Source organism: Homo sapiens, chromosome 19, assembly GCF_000001405.40.
Source record: "Homo sapiens chromosome 19, GRCh38.p14 Primary Assembly".
NCBI classification, from domain to species: domain Eukaryota; kingdom Metazoa; phylum Chordata; class Mammalia; order Primates; family Hominidae; genus Homo; species Homo sapiens.
This window is the reverse complement of record NC_000019.10, coordinates 4,323,990-4,343,382: the sequence shown is the minus strand read 5'-3', so window position 1 is coordinate 4,343,382 and position 19,393 is coordinate 4,323,990. Positions and strand designations below refer to the sequence as shown.

The 19,393-nt window shown below is 54.2% G+C and overlaps 1 protein-coding gene across 3 annotated transcripts, besides 4 other annotated features; it reads left to right on the top strand.

The window, feature by feature from the left end:
- Positions 38–769: an enhancer, noted in NCBI's record as "NANOG-H3K27ac-H3K4me1 hESC enhancer chr19:4342611-4343342 (GRCh37/hg19 assembly coordinates)". NCBI's record gives its function as "activates a minimal SCP1, AML or CMV promoter by ChIP-STARR-seq in primed H9 embryonic stem cells {active_cell/tissue: H9 hESC(primed)}" and the evidence as "EXISTENCE:reporter gene assay evidence [ECO:0000049][PMID:30033119]".
- Positions 790–909: an enhancer, noted in NCBI's record as "active region_13767". NCBI's record gives its function as "activates an Ori minimal core promoter by ATAC-STARR-seq in GM12878 lymphoblastoid cells {active_cell/tissue: GM12878}" and the evidence as "EXISTENCE:reporter gene assay evidence [ECO:0000049][PMID:35858748]".
- Positions 4,556–19,340, top strand: STAP2 (signal transducing adaptor family member 2). Of its 3 annotated transcripts, none has more exons than NM_001013841.2 (13): positions 4,556–4,731; positions 9,339–9,410; positions 9,567–9,689; positions 11,305–11,361; positions 13,322–13,422; positions 14,574–14,708; positions 15,998–16,067; positions 16,157–16,259; positions 16,376–16,441; positions 17,838–17,987; positions 18,075–18,167; positions 18,854–18,928; positions 19,186–19,340. In NM_001013841.2, exons 1-13 carry the CDS (start codon positions 4,630–4,632, stop codon positions 19,248–19,250), a joined length of 1,212 nt encoding a protein of 403 aa, NP_001013863.1. In that variant the 5' UTR covers positions 4,556–4,629; the 3' UTR covers positions 19,251–19,340. The 3 variants fall into 3 exon arrangements, with proteins under 3 accessions (NP_001013863.1, XP_011526425.1, NP_060190.2); XM_011528123.2 differs by having other exon boundaries at positions 18,719–18,928; NM_017720.3 differs by having other exon boundaries at positions 18,716–18,928.
- Positions 14,654–14,903: a silencer, noted in NCBI's record as "silent region_9885". NCBI's record gives its function as "represses an Ori minimal core promoter by ATAC-STARR-seq in GM12878 lymphoblastoid cells {active_cell/tissue: GM12878}" and the evidence as "EXISTENCE:reporter gene assay evidence [ECO:0000049][PMID:35858748]".
- Positions 15,873–16,854: an enhancer, noted in NCBI's record as "H3K4me1 hESC enhancer chr19:4326526-4327507 (GRCh37/hg19 assembly coordinates)". NCBI's record gives its function as "activates a minimal SCP1, AML or CMV promoter by ChIP-STARR-seq in naive H9 embryonic stem cells {active_cell/tissue: H9 hESC(naive)}" and the evidence as "EXISTENCE:reporter gene assay evidence [ECO:0000049][PMID:30033119]".
- Positions 19,341–19,393: the final 53 nt, after the last annotated feature.

The following is a 19,393-nucleotide window of genomic DNA, read 5'->3' as shown; positions in this document are numbered from 1 at the left end:
AAACTGAGGCGTGACGGGGTGTTGACCGGGAGCTCATTGGTGCGAATGGGGAAACTGAGGCCTCGCTGTCCAGGGATAGAGGTTGCAAGGTGGAAGCCTGGGGCGGGTGCGCGAGTGGCTCAGCCTGCTGCAAGGAGAGGAGAAGGTGAGACCTGCGGTCACCGCACTTGAGGAACTCAGAGGCCTCGGCCTTTAGGACCAGGGGAGAAACTCAGGTCCAGGGGAACAATGCGGACTCCAATAGGGAACAGCCTCGCGCAGACACAGGTGGAGCCAAAGAGCCCAAGCCGGCCTCAGTCGCTAAAGAATTAACTCCCACCCTCCCGGGCGGCCCTCGACTGATTCCATGATTGGACCGTTGCGGAGCCCGCCAGCCAATGATAAGAGTCCCATTTATTTCACCCTCAACCAATCGATAGCAAGCTACTGGATTCCCGCACCAACCAATCCGTGTCAACTATCTGATTACACCAACTCGGATTTGACCAATGGGCAGACGTCCATGTAAACCAATCAGTAGAAACCCTTAGTTATGAGCGCAAACCATCAGAGGCAGGGACTGGACTCACCAGCCAATCAGCTCCGGGTATAAGGCCAGCCGAGTCCGGCCCTCCATACCCTTGGGCGGAGCAGGAGGCAGGGCCGGGCTCGTTGCGCGCCTGATCAGTGCAGCCCCGGCCTTTGTCCCCTACCCTGTTTCTGCAACTACATCCCCGACCCTGTCCTGGGACCTTCGTCCCGGAGCCCAGGCTCTGGGATTTCCCTCAGTCCCTGGCAGGGTTGAAAGTCCGGGATGGGGACTTCCTAAAGCTCCGGGACGCCGTGGGATGGGCTCAAGTGCGGGTGGCTTTGCCCAGACCGCAGTCGGGAAGTGGGAACTGGACAGTAGGGGTGCGGGGGAGGCTCTCCAGGGTGCTCGGGAATGTTCTCAGGAAGAAGACTTGACATAGAGCAAGAGCTGGGTACATGTGAACTATTGTTGTCCAGCCCAGGCACCCTTTAGGGGCCCCACCCTGACTGTCCAGCCAACAACGGGCATCCCCAAGGCCTGCAGACTCAGCATAGCCCAAACCGGCCTCAGTTTATTTCCCCAACTCCTTACGCACTTTCTCTTTGGCTTTTTTTCCGTCCCCTGCCTTCCAAAACCCTGAGCCACACCTCCAGCCTCTTGCACCCAAATCCTGGCCATCGCAGTGAGTCTCAGGCCTCCAAACTCATGCCCCACCCTGTCGGTCTTCCACCATTGCCCCAGAGGGCTCTTTCTAAAATGCACCTATTACCACCTCCCTCCCATATTATTATTTTGTTTTCTTTTCTTTTCTTTTTTCTTTTTTTTTTTTTTTTTTTTTTTTTTTTTTTGAGACGGAGTCTCGCTCTGTCACCCAGGCCGGAGTGTAGTGGCAAGATCTTGGCTCGCTACAACCTCTGCCTACCAGGTTCAAGCGATTCTCCTGCCTCAGCCTCCCAATTAGCTGGGACTGCAGATGCACATCACCACACCCAGCTAATTTTTGTATTTTTAGTAGAGAAGGGGTTTCACCATGTTTGCCAGGCTGGTCTCGAACTCCCAACCTCAGGTGATCCACCTGCCTCAGCCTCCCAAAGTGCTGGGATTACAGGTGTGAGCCACTGCGCCCAGCCTATTTTCTTTTCTTTTCGAGACAGGGCCTTGCTCTATCTCCCAGGCTGGAGTGCATTGGTGTAATCATGGCTCACTGCAGCCTTGGCCTCCTGGACTCAAATGATCCTCTTGCCTCAGCCTCCAGAGTAGCTGAGACAACAGGCGTGACCAGCATGCCTGGCTAATTTTTAATTTTCTTGTAAAAGAAGGGGATCTCACTATGTTGCCCATGCTGGTCTCCAAGTCCTGGCCTTAAGCAATCTTCCCACTTGGGCTCCCAAAGTGTTTGGATTACAGGCGTGAGCCACCGCACCCTGCCCTCCTCTCATGCTGTAAATCCTTCTGTCGCTCCACATTGCCTTAGACAAATACAATAAAAACTAACCACCCTGGCTGGGCACAGTGGCTCACGCCTGTAATCCCAGCACTTTGGGATCACTTGAGGTCAGAAGCTGAAGACCAGCCTGACCAACATGGTGAAACCCCATCTCTAATAAAAACAAAAAAATTAGCCGGGGGTGGTGGCAGGCACCTGTAATCCCAGCTACTCCAGAGGCTGAGGCAGGAAAATCGCTTGAACCCGGGAGGCGGAGGTTGCAGTGAGCCGAAATCATGCCACTGCACTCCAGCCTGGGCAAAAGGAGCAAAACCCTGTCTGAAAAAACAAACAAACAAAAAAACGAAACAAAAATCAACTCTCTGACCTTACTTAGTATAGCTGATACTATCAACTTTATCAGACAGTTCAGTGGATGAACACATTGCCACAGTCCCACGGCCTTTCTGTGATTTCTAGAACACCTGTTCTGCTATGTATACAAAGTCTAGCCCTGGTAACTACTAAGGAAATTGAATTTGTAATTTAAAAACTCCCAAAAAAGCAATCTCCAGACCCAGATGGTTTCACTAAGGAATTCTGCCAAAGGTTCAAAGAAGAATTAACACCAATTTCACATCATCTCTTCCAGAAAATTGAAGGGGACACTTCCCTGTTCATTTTATGGAACTATGACCCTGATACCAAAACCAGATAAAGACGGTACAAAGAAAGCAAGCTACACCCCATATCCCTCATGAAGACGTGCAAAAATCCTTAACAAAATATTACAAAGTAGAATTTAACAATATATAAAGTGAATTATACACCATGACAAGTGGGGTTTACTCCAGGGACCCAAGACTGATTCAGTATTCAAAATTAATCAATTGTCCACCATATTAAACAGGCTGTGGTAGGCAGAATAATGGTCTCTTAAAGATATCCACGCCCTAATTCCCAGAATCTGTGAATACGTTAGGATACGTGGCAAAGGGATTTGAAGATTAAAGATAGACGCCAGGCACAGTGGCACACACCTGTAACCCCAGCACTTTGGGAGGCCTAGACTGGAGGATCACTTGCACCCAGGAGTTCAAGACTAGCCTGAGGGCCGGGCACGGTGGCTTATGCCTGTAATCCCAGCACTTTGGGAGGTCGAGGCAGGTGGATCACAAGGTCAGGAGATTAAGACCATCCTGGCTAACACAGTGAAACTCCATCTCTACTAAAATAAAAATACAAACAAATTAGCTGGGCATGGTGGCACGTGCCTATAATCCCAGCTACTCGGGAGGCTGAGGCAGGAGAATTGCTTGAACCTGGGAGGCAGAGGTTGCAGTAAGCCGAGATCGCTCCACTGCACTCCAGCCTGGGTGACAGAGTAAGACTCTGTCTCAAAAAAAAAAAAAAAAAAAGACCAGCCTGGGCAACATAGCAAGAACCTGTCTCTAGTAAGTGTAAAAATTAGCTGGGCGTGGTGGCAGGCACCTGTAATCCCAGCTACTTGGGAGGCTGAGCCAGGCGAATGGCATGAACCTGGGAGGCGGAGCTTGCAGTGAGCCGAGATCACGCCACTGCACTCCAGCCTGGGCTACAGAGCGAGAGTCTGTCTCAAAAAAAAGAAAAAAAAAAATTAGCCAGGTGTGGTGGCATGCAACTGTAGTACCACCTACTCTGGAGGCTGAGGCTGGAGGATCACTTGAGCCTGTAAGGTCGAGGCTACAGTGAGTCATGATCGCCCCACTGTACTCCAGCCTAGGCAACATAGTGAGAACTCATCCTTAAAAAAGGAAAATAAATTAGCTGGGTGTGGTGGTGCCCACCTATAGTCCCAGCTCTTCGGGTGGCTGAGGCAGGAGGACCGCTTGAGATTGGGAGGTCAGGGCTGCAGTGAACTATGATCGTGCCACTGCACTCCAGCATCGACAACAGAATGAGACACCGTCTAAAAAAGAAAAATTGCAGATGAAATTAAAGTTGCTAGTCAGCTGACTTTAAAATAGGGAGAGTAGCGTGGATTATCCAGGTGGGCCCAATGTAATCATTAGGGTCCATCAAAGTAAGAGAAAGGGCCAGGTGTGGTGGCTCATGCCTGTAATCTCAGCACTTTGGGAGGCTGAGGCGGGCAGAAAACTTGGGGTCAGGAGTTCGAGACCAGCCTGGGCCAACATGGGGAAACCTCGTCTCTACTACAAATACAAAAATTAGCCAGGCGTGGTGGCGGTCACCTGCAATCCACGCTAGTCAGGAGACTGAGCTTGGACTCAGTCTCTGAACCCGGGAGGCAGCGCAGTCTCTTGAACCCGGGAGGCAGAGGTCGCAGTGAGCCAAGATCATACCACTTTACTCCAGCCTGGGCAACAGAGTGAAACTCTGTCTCAAAATAGGAAAAATAGATAAATAAATAAATAAAGAGACAGACCATGTCTCTGTCTTTGCAGATATAGCGAAGATTATTCTCCCATTCAAGTAGACTTATACATTCTCTCTGTTCTCAGTTCCACACCGGAGAGGCGGGGATTTCCCTAGGATCACTGGACCTGCTGGGATCAGCCTCTGCCCAGCCCTGGCAGGGGAGGGAGTTGACGGGCTGACACAGGAAACTCCCCTGAAACCTGTTTCTCAGCTTCCCGGCCCAGCTGGGGCACCCACTGGAAGGAGAGGCCAGGCGGAAGACCCTGGCTCCGTCATGGCCTCTGCCCTGAGGCCACCCCGTGTCCCCAAGCCTAAGGGTGTCCTGCCTTCACACTACTATGAGAGCTTTCTAGAGAAGAAGGGGCCCTGTGACCGGGTAAGGTGGGGAGGCGGGGGCTGGCCCTGCTGGGCCACCGTGGGGAGCTGCGGCACCTCTCTGAGTCCCTGTCTCCCCACTCGCCAAGGGGGGGCGGGGTGGGTGCTGGATGGGGCAGGACACGTGCTGGGGGACTGGGGTGGGTTCTGGCCATCTGCCTCTCTGTGCGTCTATCTCTGTCTCCGTGTGTCTTTGAATTTGGTTTCTTTTTCTCTTTCTCTCTCCCTGGCCCCGTCTGTCTCTCCCGATGTCTGTCTCAGTCTCCCTCTCTCTTTGTCTCAATCTTTGCTTTTGTCTCTCGTTCACTCTCTTGAATACAAACAAGATCAGGGACTTCCTCCAGGAAATGGGGAGTCCTCTGACTCCCGAGCTTCCTCCCGCTCCCAGCCCAGGAAAAACTCCGTGAACCTCAGCTGCTGGGGCGAAGGCCAGGACAGGTGACATGTGAGGACAGTAAGAGCTAGCGGGGGCCACATTCCACAGGACAGATAGTTGCCATGGACAGTGCGTGCATGTGTGTGTGTGTGTGTGCTTATGTCTCCCTCAGAATAAAGTCCCAGCCCCTCCGTTCCCCGTGAGGCCCTATCTCTCCTTCCCAATGCCGCATATTCATTTTCTTTCTTTCTTTTTGTTAGAGACAGAGTTGCTCTGTCACCCAGGCTAGAGTGCAGGGGCACGATCATGGCTCACTGTAGCCTCAAACTCCTGGGCTCAAGTGAACCTCCCGCCCCAGCCTCCTGAGTAGCTGGGACCACAGGCATGCACTGCCTCTTCTGGCTTTTATTTTATTTATTTATTTTTGAGACTGAGTCTCACTCTGTCACCCAGGCTGCAGTGCAGTGGCACCATCTCGGCTCACTGCAACCTCCACCTCCCAGGTTCAAACGATTAAGCGATTCTCGTGCCTCAGCCTCCCGAGTAGCTGGGATTACAGGTACGCACCACCACACCTAATTTTTGTATTTTTAGTAAAGACAGTGTTTCATTTTGTTGGCCCGGCTGGTCTTGAACTCTTGACCTCAGGTGATCCACCTGTCTCGGCCTCTCTAAATGCTGGGATTACAGGCATGAGCCACCGCACCCAGCCTTTTTTTTTTTTTTTTGAAGATGGGGTCTTGCTGGCCAGGCGCAGTGGGTCACACCTGTAATCCCAGCACTTAGGGAGGCTGAGGCAGGTGGATCACCTGAAGTCAGGAGTTTGAGACCAGCCTGGCCAATATGGTGAAACCCCGTCTCTACTAAAAATACAAAGATTAGCCGGGCGTGGTGGTGCGTGCCTGTGATCCCAGCTACTCTGGAGGCTGAGGCAGGAGAATCACTTGAACCTGGGAGGCAGAGGTTGCAGTGAGCCAAGATCGTGCCACTGCACTCCAGCCTGGGCAACAGAGCAAGACTCCGTCTCAAAAAAAAAAAAAAGATGGGGTCTTGCTATGTTGCCCAGGCTGGTCTCAAACTCCTGGCCTTAAGTGATCCTCCTGTCTCAGCCTCCCAAACTGCTGGGATTAGAGGTGTGAGCCACCATGACTGCCTCATTTTCTAATACAGATCAAAACAAACACCCCCAGCTCCTCCCTGCCCATGTCCCCGCCTCTGCCCCTGAGGTTCCCTTACCTGTAGTGGAGTAGACTTTCCTTCTACCTCCATACATCCAAATCCTCCCCAACCAACAAACCCTTTAGAGCCAGTAGATCACTGCAGTTAAGAAAGATAATGGGGGAGGCCGGGCTTGTGGCTCACGCCTGTAATCCCAGCACTTTGGGAGGCCGAGGCAGGCGGATCACCTGAGGTCAGGAGTTCAAGACCAACCTGGCCAATATGGTGAAACCTCGTCTCTACTAAAAAATACAAAAATTAGCTGGGTATGGTGCCAGGCGCCTTAATCCCAGCTACTTGGGAGGCAGAGGCAGGAGAATCATTTGAGCCTGAGAGGCGAAGTTTGCAGTGAGTCAAGATCAAGCCATTGCACTCAAACCTGGGGGACAAGAGCGAGACTGCTCTCAAAAACAAAAAGAAAAAAAAAAGAAAAGAAAGATAATGGGGGCCGGGCGTGGTGGCTCACGCCTGTAACCCAACACTTTGGGAGGCCGAGGTGGGAGGATCACTTGAGGTCAGGAGTTCAAGACCAGCCTGGCCACATGATGAAACCCCATCTCTACTAAAAATAAAAATAGCTGGGCGTGGTGGTGTGCACCTGTAATCCCAGCTACTCGGGAGGCTGAGGCAGGAGAATTGCTTGAACTGGGGCGGGGGGGTTGCAGTGAGCTGAGATGGTGCCACCGCATTTCAGCCTAGGTGACAGAGTGAGACTCTGTCTCAAAAAAAAAAAAAAAAAAAAAAGGCAGTGTGCAGTGGCTCACGCCTGTAATCCCAACACTTTGGGAGGGCGAGGCCGGCGGATCACTTGAGGTCAGGAGTTCGAGAACACCCTGGCCAACATATAGTGAAACCCCACCTCTACTAAAAAATACAAAAATTAGCTGGATGTGGTGGTGCGCACTTGTAATCCCAGCTACTTGAGAAGCTGAGGCAGGAGAATGGCTCGAACTGGGAGGTGGAGGTTGCAGTGAGCCGAGATCGCACCACTGCACTCCAGCCTGGGCGACAGAGCAAGACTCTGTCTCTTAAAAACAAAACAAAACAAAACAAAAAAGATCATGGGCCCGAATTAAGAAGACCCAGGTTCTAATCCCGGCTCCACACTTTCCTTACTCCCAGGCCTTATGCAAGTGACTTAATCTTTGAGCCTTAGTTTTCTGTCTTCTGAAATAGGGAGTTAGGGCTGTAGTCACAGTTCACGTGTTGAGGACTTGACTCAACGCAGGCCCTGGTGCTTCCCATGTGGAAAGTCACCTAATTCTCATGAGATCCTCCAGAGTTGGCACCATTATTATCACCATTTTACAGCTGGGGAAACAGACAAAGACAGCTCAAATAACTTGCCCAACAGCACATCGTGGGTACATAATGAAGCAATACAGTGTTTAATCCTGTATTGCTCTAGTCCCAGTGCCTGGAGCAGGGCTGGCACATAAAAAGCCTTCAGTAAATGTTAGGTAAATGCATGTGTGTATCTGTGCTTGTGTCTACGGATGGACAGGTGGATGGGTAGATGGGGGGATGAGTGGAGGCTTGGTGAATACATGCGGGCTTGATGGTGGCTGAGAGGATGTGTGGGTGGATGGATGAGTGCATATACAAGTGGGTGGATGGATGGATGGGGGAGTGGATGGATGGATGAGTGGGCAGACGGGTGGGTGGGTGGATGATGGATGGATGAACAAGTGCATGGATGAATGATAGATGGATGAATAGGTGGATGCACGATGGAGGGATGTATGGATGGATGAACGGGAAGATGCGTGGGTGGGTGGATGGTGAATGGATGAATGCATGGATGGATGATGGATGGATGAGTAGGTGGATGGATGATGGAGGGATGAGTGGATGGATGGATGATGGATGGATGAGGGATGGATGGATGAGTAGGTGGATGGATGATGGAGGGATGCATTGATAGATGAGTGGATGGATGTATGGATGGATGGATGGATGAGTGGGTGGATGGATGAGTGGGTGGATGGATGATAGATGGTGGGTGGATGATGGAGGGATGGATGGATAGGTGGATGGATGGGTGGATGGATTGATGAGTGGGTGGATGGATGAGTGGGTGGATGGATGAGTGGGTGGATGGATGATGGACGGTGAGTGGATGGATGGATGGATTATGGAGGGATGGATGGATGGGTGGATGGATGGATGAGTAGGTGGATGGATGGAGGGATGCATTGATAGATGAGTGGATGGATGGATGAGTGGGTGGATGGATGAGTGGATGGATGATGGAGGGATGGATGGATGGGTGGACAGATGGATGTGTGGGTGGATGGATGACTGGATGGATGGTGGGTGATGTAGGTATTGATGAATGACTGGATGGATGGATGATGAATGGCTCCATGATGGATAGATGGATGGATGGGGGTGATGGACGGATGGATGAGTGGGTGGATGGATAGATGAATGGATGAATGGATGGGTAAATGGTAGGTGGATGGATGAATGGGTGGGTGGGTGGATGAATAACTGGATGGATGGATGTGTGGATGGGTGGGTGGGTGGACGGATTGGTGGATGGATGGTGGGCAGATGGATGGATGGATGAATGGGTGAATGGATGGGTCAATGGTAGGTGGATGGATGAATGGGTGGGTGGGCGGATGGACAGATGGATGATAGATAGATGGCTAGTGGGTAGCTGGATGATGAAAGATGAATGGGATACCATTAAACCAGTTAGTTAACTTACCCCTAGAGCACCCATCTCTATAGATTGGCGGGGGTTGCTCTGAATCCCTCATCACATCGAGGTTCCGTCTGGTCCTTTCTCAGACGAAAACAGACACCCAGAAGCTGGGCCATGGGTGGGGAGGATCTCCCTGAGAAGGTACATTTGATCAGAAACTCAAGGCAGGAGGTAATAAAGATCTGGGGGCAGCGTGGGGCAGAGAGCACAACCAGTGCAAAGGCCCCGAGACAGGATTGAGTACATGAAAGGCACTCAGCTTGGCCAGCTCACCTCTTCTTTCTGCACTTCTGGTCCCTAGGATTACAAGAAGTTCTGGGCAGGCCTGCAGGGTCTCACCATTTATTTCTACAATAGCAATCGGGACTTCCAGGTAAGGATGGGAATGGAGGCTCCAGAGCAGGCCTTCCCTTGAGCCCAGAGACCAAGCAGACAATGTAGATGGTGTGGTCAAGGTGGCTGCTACATCATCCAGGGGGCCTGGAGGCCAAGGAACTGGTGCCCAGATCCCCTGCTTCTATGCCCCCAGCACGTGGAGAAGCTCAACTTGGGAGCATTTGAGAAACTCACAGATGAGATTCCCTGGGGAAGCTCACGTGACCCTGGCACCCACTTCAGCCTGATTCTCCGGGATCAGGAGATCAAGTTCAAGGTAGGTCCCTTGCTGGAGGGGTGCAGAGGGGCGGTGCTTGCAGAAGATGCTCAAATGCTCCTACCCTCCATTGTGCCAACCACGAAGGGGCAGGTAGTACAGGGCCCTGTGGGCCCTGGGTAAGACTTGGGTCTTGACCCCAAAGGAGCTGGGTGCTATGGGAGGGTTTATTTTATTTTATTTTATTACTTTTTTTTTGAGACCAAGTCTCGCCCTGTCACCCAGGCTGGAGTGCAATGGCACGATCTTGGCTCACTGCAACCTCCACCTCCCAGGTTCAAGTGATTCTCCTGCCTCAGCCTCCCAAGTAGCTGGGATTACAGGCGCACGCAACCACTCCTGGCTAATTTTTTGAATCTTTAGTAGAGATGGGGTTTCACCATGTTGGCCATGCTGGCCTGGAACTCCTCACCTCAGGTGATCCACCCACCTCGGCTTCCCAAACTGCTGGAATTATAGGCGTGAGCCACCGTGTCCAGCCGAGGGTTTATTTTTTATTTTTATTTTTTGAGTTTCGCTCTTATCACCCAGGCTGGAGTGCAGTAGTGCAATCTTGGCTCACTACAACCTCTGCCTCCCAGGTTTAAGTGATTCTCCTGCCTCAGCCTCCCGAGTAGCTGGGATTACAGGCGTGTGCCACCACGCACAGCTAATTTTTGTATTTTTGGTAGAGACAGGGTTTCACCATGTTGGCCAGGCTGGTCTCGAACTCCTGACCTCAAGTGATCCACCCACCTCGGCCTCCCAAAGTGCTGGGATTACAGGCATGAGTCACGGTGGCTGGCCTATGGGAGGGTTTAGAGCATGAGAGGTCTGGGAACTGATCTATGTTTTTCTATTATTTTATTTTATTTATTATTTTATTTTGAGACAGGGTCTTGCTCGTCGCCCAGGCTGGAGTGCAGTAGTGAGATCATAGCTCACTGCAGCCTCGACCTCCCGGGCTCAAGCGATCGATCCTCCTACCTCAGCCAAGCACATGCCACTATGCCTGGCTAATATTTTATTTTTTTGTAGAGACAGGGGGCTCGCTATGTTACCCAGTCTGGTCTTGAACCCCTAGGCTCAAGTGATCCTCCCGCCTCGACCTCCCAAAGTGCTGGGATTACAGGCGTGAGTGAGCCACTGCATCCAGCCTGATCTATGTTTTTCAAATGTTGATATAATAACATCAAAAATCATAATATCAGCCAGGCATGGTGGCTCATGCCTGTAATCTGAGCACTTTGGGACGCCAAGGCAGAAGGATAGCTTGGGCCCAGGAGTTCAAGACCAGCCTGGCAACAAAGCGAGACCCTCATGTCTAAGAGAAAAAAAAAAAAGCTGGGCGAGGTGGTGCATGCCTGTAGTCCCAGCTACTCAGGAGGCTGAGGCAGGAGAATCGCTTGAACCTGGGAGGTGGAGGTTGCAGTGAGCTGAGATCGCGCCACTGTACTCTAGCCTGGGCGACAGAAGAATGAGACTCCATCTCAAAAAAAAAAAAAAAAAAAAAAAAAAGAAGAAAAAGAAAAAAGAAAACGGCCCTTTGAAGCAGGGACTCTTCCCTAGTCCAATTTCATTGATGAGTAGACTGAGGCTCACTGACTTGGATTCTTTCCTTTCTTTTGTTCCCCAGGTAGAGACCTTGGAGTGTCGGGAAATGTGGAAAGGCTTCATCTTAACGGTGGTGGAGGTAAGAGTAGTGGCTCTCTGCGCCCTCTCTCCCATTCTCCAGATCTCCTCAAAAAGCCTCCTTTTTCTTTCTTTCTTTTTTTCTTTTTTTGAGACGGAGTCTCGCTCTGTCGCCCAGGCTGGAGTGCAGTGGTGCGATCTCGGCTCACTGCAAGCTCCGCCTCCCGGGTTCACGCCATTCTCGTGCCTCAGCCTCCGGAGTAGCTGGGATTACAGAAGCCCGCCACCACGCCCGGCTAATTTTTTTGTATTTTAGTAGAGACGGGGTTTCACTGTGTTAGCCAGGATGGTCTCTGTCTCCTGAACTCGTGATCCACCCGCCTCAGCCTCCCAAAGTGCTGGGATTACAGGCGTGAGCCACCGGGCCCGGCCAAAATTTTGTTTTATTTTTTTGAGACAGAGTCTCACTCTGTTGCCCAGGCTGGAGTGCAATGGCACGTTCTCAGCTCACTGCAACCTCTGCCTCCCCGGTTCAAGCAATTCTTGTGACTCAGCCTCCCGAGTAGCTGGGATTACAGGCGTCCGCCACCACGCCTGGCTAATTTTTGTATTTTTAGTATACATGGGGTTTCACCCTGTTGGCCAGGCTGGTCTTGAACTGACCTTGAGTCATCTGCCCGCCTTGGCCACTCAAAGTGCTGGGATTACAGGCGTGAGCCACAGCGACCAACCGTATTTCTTATTTTATTTTTTTGAGACAAGGTCTCTCTCTGTTGCCCAGGCTGGAGTGCAGTGGTGTGATCATAGCTCACTGCAGCCTCCAACTCCCAGGCTCAAGCAGTCCTCCTGCCTCAGCCTCCCAAGTAGCTGGGATACAGACACACACTACCACATCTGACTAATTTAAAAATTTTTTTGTAGAGCAGGGTCTCACTATGTTGCCCGGGCTGGTCTCCAACTTCCGTGCTCAAGCAATCCACCCTCCTTGGCCTCCCAAAGTGATAGGATTATAGATGTGAGCCACCATGCCTGGCCACAGAGTGCTAAGTTTTTAAAAATTAGCTGACATTGGCCAGGCGTGGTGGCTCACGCCTGTAATCCCAGCACTTTGGGAGGCCGAGGCTGGCAGATCATGAGGTCAGGAGATCAAGACCATCCTGGCCAACACGGTGAAACCCTGTCTCTACTAAAAATACAAAAATCAGCTGGGCGTGGTGGCGGGAGCCTGTAATTCCAGCTACTCGGGAGGCTGAGGCAGGAGAATGGCTTGAACCCGGGAGTCGGAGGTTGCAGTGAGCCAAGATCGCGCCACTGCACTCCAGCTTGGTGACAGAACTAAACTCCATCTCAAAAAAAAAAAAAAAAAAAAAATTAGCTGACATCATTTATCAACCGGGAATTTTAGTCTACCTTCCTGATTTCCCTCTGATTTCCCTGTTTCCTACCTCACCCTGGCAGGCCATTGAGTTTGAGACCTGCCTGGCCCCTGCAGACTTTAGTTTGAGACCCTAGATTCCAGCATCTACTTTTTTTTTTTTTTTTGGTGGGGTTGGGGAGCGGGGAACGGAGTCTCACTCTGTCACCCAGGCTGGAGTGCAATGGCGTGATCTTGGCTTACTGCAGCCTCCGCCTTCCCAGGTTCAAGTGATTCTCCTGCCCCAGCCTCCCGAGTAGCTGGGATTACAGGTGTCTGCCACCACGCCCGGCTAATTTTTTGTATTTTTAGTACAAACGGGGTTTCGCCATGTTGCCCAGGTTGGTCTCGAACTCCTGACCTTAGGTGATCCGCCCGCCTCGGCCTCCCAAAGTGCTGGGATTACAGGCGTGAGCCACCGCGCCCGGCCCCAGCATCTACTCTCATGCAACACTCCTCTGCAACCCTCTCGAAGCCCTCTTTGCCCTCTAAGGTGTCAGAGTTCATTGCTCTGAGCTCTGGCCTCAATTTGCCACTCTGTGACTTGGGCACAGCCGTCCATTCCCGGCTGGCCAGGTGCAGTCACTGTCCCTCGATCGCCCCTCAGCTCCGTGTCCCGACCGACTTGACCCTGCTTCCTGGGCACCTATACATGATGTCTGAAGTCTTGGCCAAAGAGGAGGCGCGCCGTGCACTGGAGACACCCTCGTGAGTGTCCCGCCTGTCCCGAGGGGCTGCAGGATGGGGACGGGAGGTGGTTGTGTGGCTGAGGGTGGGCGGTGAGTTGGGTCCCCTGGAGTTGGGTCTTGGATTTTGCATGAGGACTGCCTTGGGGCTGGGGGTGGGGGAGGGGGAGGGGGAGTTATGGCCCATGCTGGGGAGGCAGGGCAGGATCTCCAGGAGCGGGTCTAGGGGCCTAGAGGACTGGTAAGGTCTTCAGTGGCGGGGCCTAGGCCTGAGGAGTAGGGACAGGGTCTGGGGGTGGTCAGTCTAGGTGTCTAGAAGGTGATGCTTCGTCTCCGGGGAGGAGTTATTTGTCGGAGAGGGTAACCGGGACCCTAGAGGCGGGGCCTGGATGGGGGGCGGAGCATCGTCTTTGTGGGCGGTTCTTGGTGATCAGGGAGGCGGGCAGGGCCTCCAGGGTAAGGTCTAGGTGTTTGGAGGGCGGGACAGGATCTCCAGGGGAGGCTCTAGGTGCCTACGAGGCAGGGCTGGGTCTCCCTAGGGGTTGGAGCTGCATCTCCGGGGCCAGAATTAAGAGCCTGGCTGGCCGCGGTGGCTCGCGCCTGTCATCTCAGCGTTTTGGGAGGTCGAGGCGGGAGGATTGCTTTTACCCAGTTCGAGACCCATCCTGGGCAACATAGCGAGACCCCATCTCTAAAGAAAAAAAAAACCAAAAAACCCGGCCAGATGCAGTGGCTCACGCCTGTAATCCCAGCACCTTGGGAAGCCGAGGCGGGCGGATCACCTGAGGTAGGGAGTTTGAGACCAGCCTGACCAACATGGAGAAATCCCGTCTCTACTAAAAATACAAAAATTAGCCGGGCCTGTGAGGAAGGGGAATCGCTTGAACCCGGGAGGCGGAGGTTGCGGTGAGCCGAGATAGCGCCATTGCACTCCAGCCTGGGCAACAAGAGCGAAACCCTGTCTCAAAAAAAAAACAAAAAACCCCACAAAAACTAGGAGCCTGGAAGGCCGGACTGGGTCTCCGTGGGAGGGGCCTGGGTCTGGAGAGCAGGGCAGGGTCTCCTGGGCCTAGGGGATGGGGATGGGGCTGGGTCTCAGAGGAGGCAGGGTTTACGTGCAGAAGAGCGGACTTGGTCTCCGGGGTCCCGAGTGGGTGACGCGGCCCGCCACAGGTGCTTCCTGAAGGTGAGCCGGCTGGAGGCACAACTGCTCCTGGAGCGCTACCCCGAGTGCGGGAACCTGCTGCTGCGGCCCAGCGGGGACGGCGCCGACGGCGTGTCGGTCACCACGCGGCAGATGCACAACGGGTGCGCATGCGCGTCTGGAGAGCCCTGGGTGGGAGGAGGGTGGGAAGAGGGTGGGCGCGGGGGCGTGGTCAGAAGCAGGGGCGGAGTCCGACCCGCTAGTGGGTAGGCCAGGGGACGGAGCCAGAGCCGAGACGGGCGTCTGGGGACGGAGTCAGAGCTGAGCTGGGCGGATTGGGGGAGGAGTCAGAGCTGAGGTGGGCGGATTGGGGGAGGAGTCAGAGCTGGGCTGGGCGGATTGGGGGAGGAGTCAGAGCTGGGCTGGGCGAGCTGGGGCGGGTGGAGTCAGAGCTGAGCAGAGTACACTGGTGGCGGAATCAGAGCTACGCTGGGCGTGTTGGGGCGGAGTCAGAGCTGGGGTGGGCGGGCTGGGGGAGGGGTGGAGTCAATGCTAGGCAGGGGAGCATGGGGGCGGAGTCAGAGCTGGGCAGGGAGGGCTGGGGGCGGGATCAGAGCTCCGGGGTCGTGGGATCCTGAGGCTGGCCTTGCCCCAGGTATGGGGTTAATGCCTAGGGAAGAAGGTAGAGCCCAGGCCGACTCCTTTGCAGGAAGAGCCAGGTCTTGGGTTAGGAGCTGGGACTCCCTGTAGGTGGAGTCAGACTCCTAGGTTAGGATCGGCCCCTCCGGAACGTCAGGTACGCAGGGGCCAGGTCTGGGCCACTGGAGGGGATGAAGTCAAATCCAGGGATGGGAATGGGCTCTTTGGGCAGCGTCAGGATCTACGGGGGGGAGTCATGGCCGTGATCCTTTTTGGAAGTTGAGTAGGGCTATGGAGGCGGAGCCAGCCCTGGGGGCGAAGTCAGAGCCTTATGCCAAATTCTCAAGCCCAGTCCAGGGTTGGGCAAGGCGATGTAGAAGGTAGAGTCGGTGCCTGGGGGTGGAGCCATTACAGGGGGCGGGGCCTACCTGGGGCGGGGTCTTTAGGGCCTGGTTCTCCCTAGGCGCGGTGCCAGAATTAGGGGCGGACCTTTCCTAGGGTGTTGTCAGTCTGGCCTGGTCCCTCGCTGGAGGTGGTGCCAAGACTAGAGGTGGGGTCTTCTGTGGGGGTGGGTCGGTCGGGCCTGGTCCCCGCTGGGAGCAGTGCTGGGATCGGGCAGTCAGTGCTCCGGGAGGTCAACGGGGCTTAGGTCCTTTATGGGGTGGAACCAGTCAGTGGCGGGGCCTTCTGTGGGGGCGGAGCCAGTATGGACCTGTTTCTATTGGAGGCGGAGCCTGGAGTTGGGGCGGGGCCTTCCCTGAGGGGCGGTGTGGGAGCCTGGGCTGAGCCACTCACTCGCTTTCTCCTGGTGCAGGACGCACGTGGTCCGGCATTACAAGGTGAAGCGGGAGGGCCCCAAGTACGTGATCGATGTGGAACAGCCGGTGAGCGTTGGGCCAGAGTCCCTAGAAGTGACTTTGTGGGGTCCGCGTCCCTTCTCCAGCAGCCTGACCGCTCCCCCATCTGCCCCCAGTTCTCTTGCACCTCCCTGGACGCCGTGGTCAACTATTTCGTGTCGCATACCAAAAAGGCGCTGGTGCCATTCCTGTTAGACGAGGACTACGAGAAGGTGCTAGGTGGGTGCCCCTTCGGGGAGTTCGGGGGCCCAGTGCTCACCTCTCCCGCCCCCGCTCGGACGGACCGGGCCGCCCCTGGCCGCCGCGCTTCCTCCAGGCCGCCCTCTCTGTTCCAGGCTACGTGGAAGCCGATAAGGAGAATGGCGAGAATGTGTGGGTGGCGCCCTCCGCTCCGGGCCCAGGTGACGCCCCCTTCCCGCGGGCCGAGGTGGGAGGGATCGAGGACCCCGCATTCAGCCACGCCCCCTCAGTCAGTTTGGTGGCTGCACCTCCTGCATCTGATGTTCCCAAAGTTGCAGGGACAGAAATGACTCAGACCCTGCCGTCAGGGTGTGTGTGTGGGGGAGGGGGCGGGGGTCCCAGCTTGGGACAGAGCTAAACACAGACACTCTCATCCTGTAGGGTTGAATTTGGGGTGGAGGAAAAACCTGGGCTCGGGGGAGGCGCCTAGAGTTCGGGAGAAGATGGGGGCAGAGCAGGGAAAGCTTCCCAGAAGAGTGGGTCTTTGCAGATGGTCCCAAAGGATCTCCTTAGGTAGAAATGGGCATTGAGGGGTCAGAGGGTACACCCGGACAAGCAGTAGCCCCACAGGGACCGAGAATCCGGGTGGGTGTTGGGAAAGAGGTGGAAATCGGTCCTGTTTATGGAGTGGGAAGAGGAGGCAGAGAACACACTAGAAAGGAATGTAGCGTGGGTTGTCTGGTCTTCCCTGGTCTGGGCGTATGCAAGGACCCCCAAGTGCCACATCCACACACACATTACACATGCATGATCCATGCAACTGTGGCCACCTGCCTAGCCAGAAGGTGACACACACTTGTGCGGGCACAACAGATCACACATGCATAAATACACGTGTGCCCCAATTCCAGTCACATACAAATGCTATGTAGCACAGATACACCTGTGTCATGCCACAATCACATGTGTACACATAAATGCAGATACGTCCGTGCACCGGCACAAACTCGGACACGTGTAGATACACGGGCAAAACGCACTCATGTAGACAAGGACTAAAGCAGCCACCTCAGCAGGCGTGCAGTCACACACGTATACACACCACAGGTGTGTGTGTACAAACGTTGCACTTTAACTTATCTAGATTCAATTAGTGTACACGTGTATGCCACACAAAGACTTTTTTTTTTTTTTGAGATGGAGTCTTGCTCTGTCACCCAGGCTGGAGTGCAGTGGCGCAATCTCGGCTCACTGCAACCTCTCCCTCCCAGGTTCAAGCGATTCTCCTGCCTCAGCCCCGAGTAGCTGCGATTACAGGAGCCTGCCACCACGCCAAGCTAATTTTTGTATTTTTAGTAGAGACGGGGTTTCACCATATTGGCCAGGCTGGTCTTGAACCCCTGACCTCAGGTGATCCGCCCACCCTGGCCTCCCAAAGTGCTGGGATTACAGGCGTGAGCCACCGCGCCCGGCCCAGACACAGACTTATACATGGGCACACACACAGACACACAGGGACACATGCCTGTCTCCAGGCATGCACACAGACCCCCCCGCCAACCTGCAAGGTGTCCCTGTATGACATGGGTCTTGACAGTGACCACGTTTCCCCATCAGGTCCTGCACCCTGCACAGGTGGCCCCAAGCCGCTGTCACCTGCGTCTAGCCAGGACAAGCTGCCCCCACTGCCCCCACTACCGAACCAGGAAGAGAACTACGTGACCCCCATTGGAGATGGCCCAGCTGTTGACTATGAGAACCAAGATGGTGGGTGGGGAACAGAGCTGCTGAGAGCTGGGGGTTGGGGAAACAGGTTAACAGCTGATGTGACACGTTACACTTTTGTCCACGCAGTGGCTTCCTCTAGTTGGCCAGTCATCCTGAAGCCAAAGAAGTTGCCAAAGCCTCCTGCCAAGCTTCCAAAGCCACCCGTTGGACCCAAGCCAGGTTGGGGTCCCCCCCATATCCCACCCTCACCTGATGGCAGGCCAGCCTCAGCCCTCATCTGACTTTTTTTTTTTTTTTTGAGACAGTCTCACTCTGTCGCCCAGGCTGGAGTGCAGTGGCACAACCTTGGCTCACTGCAAGCTCCGCCTCCTGGGTTCACGCCATTCTCCTGCCTCAGCCTCTCCAGTAGCTGGGACTACAGGTGCCCGCCACCATGCCCAGCTAATTTTTTTTTTTGTATTTTTAGTAGAGACGGGGTTTCACCATGTTAGCCAGGATGGTCTTGATCTCCTGACCTCGTGATCCGCCCACCTCGGCCTCCCAAAGTGCTGGGATTACAGGCGTGAGCCACCGCACCCAGCTCATCTGTCTTTATTGTTGTTTTTTGTTTTGAGATGGAGTCTCACTCTGTTGCCCAGGCAGTGGCGCGATCTCAGCTCACTGCAACCTCTGTCTGCCGGGTTCAAGTGATTCTCCTGCCTCAGCCTCCCAAGTAGCTGGGATTACAGGCACCTGCCACCACGTCCATCTAATTTTTGTATTTTTAGTAGAGAAGGGGTTTCACCATGTTGCCCAGGCTGGTCTCGAACTCCTGACCTCAAGTGATCCACCCACCTCAGCCTCCCAAAGTGCTGGGATTACCGGCGTGAGCCACCACACCTGGCCTCATCTGTCTTCTCTTCCAGAGCCCAAAGTCTTTAATGGTGGCTTGGGCAGGAAGCTGCCAGTCAGTTCAGCCCAGCCTCTCTTCCCCACAGCCGGTAAGGGGTCTGCGGGGTCAGTGCGGGGCGGGCTTCCCAGGTGTGTGACCGTACAGTCACACAAGTCCCCACACTCCGAAGCGCCCTGTCTTTTAAGGTTCTGCTGTCTCTGTCTTGAAATTCTTAATGCCTTCGAGCACACTGTCCTGTTGCACGGGGCCCTGCAAATCTGTAGCTGGTCCTGGGTGGCTGTCAGGGCGGTGGGCATGGACTGGGGATCCCTGAGCCAGCTGCAGCTCCTGGTCCTGAACCCCCAGGGCTGGCAGACATGACGGCAGAGCTACAGAAGAAGCTGGAGAAGAGGCGGGCACTGGAGCACTGATTCGGACACACCAGGGACCAGCGGGCTAGTCCCAGGGCATGGCCCAGCGGCCAGATTCTTTTTCCCAGGATTAAAACTCTGACCCCAGGACCCATGTGTCTGGCTTGGCTTGGGGGATTAGGGGACGAGGGGTCCGTCAGATG

Excerpts from the sequence above, each read along its gene's own strand:
- STAP2 (NM_017720.3), top strand. The coding sequence starts at position 4,630 with ATGGCCTCTGCCCTGAGGCCACCCCGTGTCCCCAAGCCTAAGGGTGTC. Across the intron at positions 14,709-15,997 it reads ACGCGGCAGATGCACAACGG|GACGCACGTGGTCCGGCATT; the intron begins GTGCGCATGCGC and ends CTCCTGGTGCAG. Across the intron at positions 16,068-16,156 it reads TGATCGATGTGGAACAGCCG|TTCTCTTGCACCTCCCTGGA; the intron begins GTGAGCGTTGGG and ends ATCTGCCCCCAG.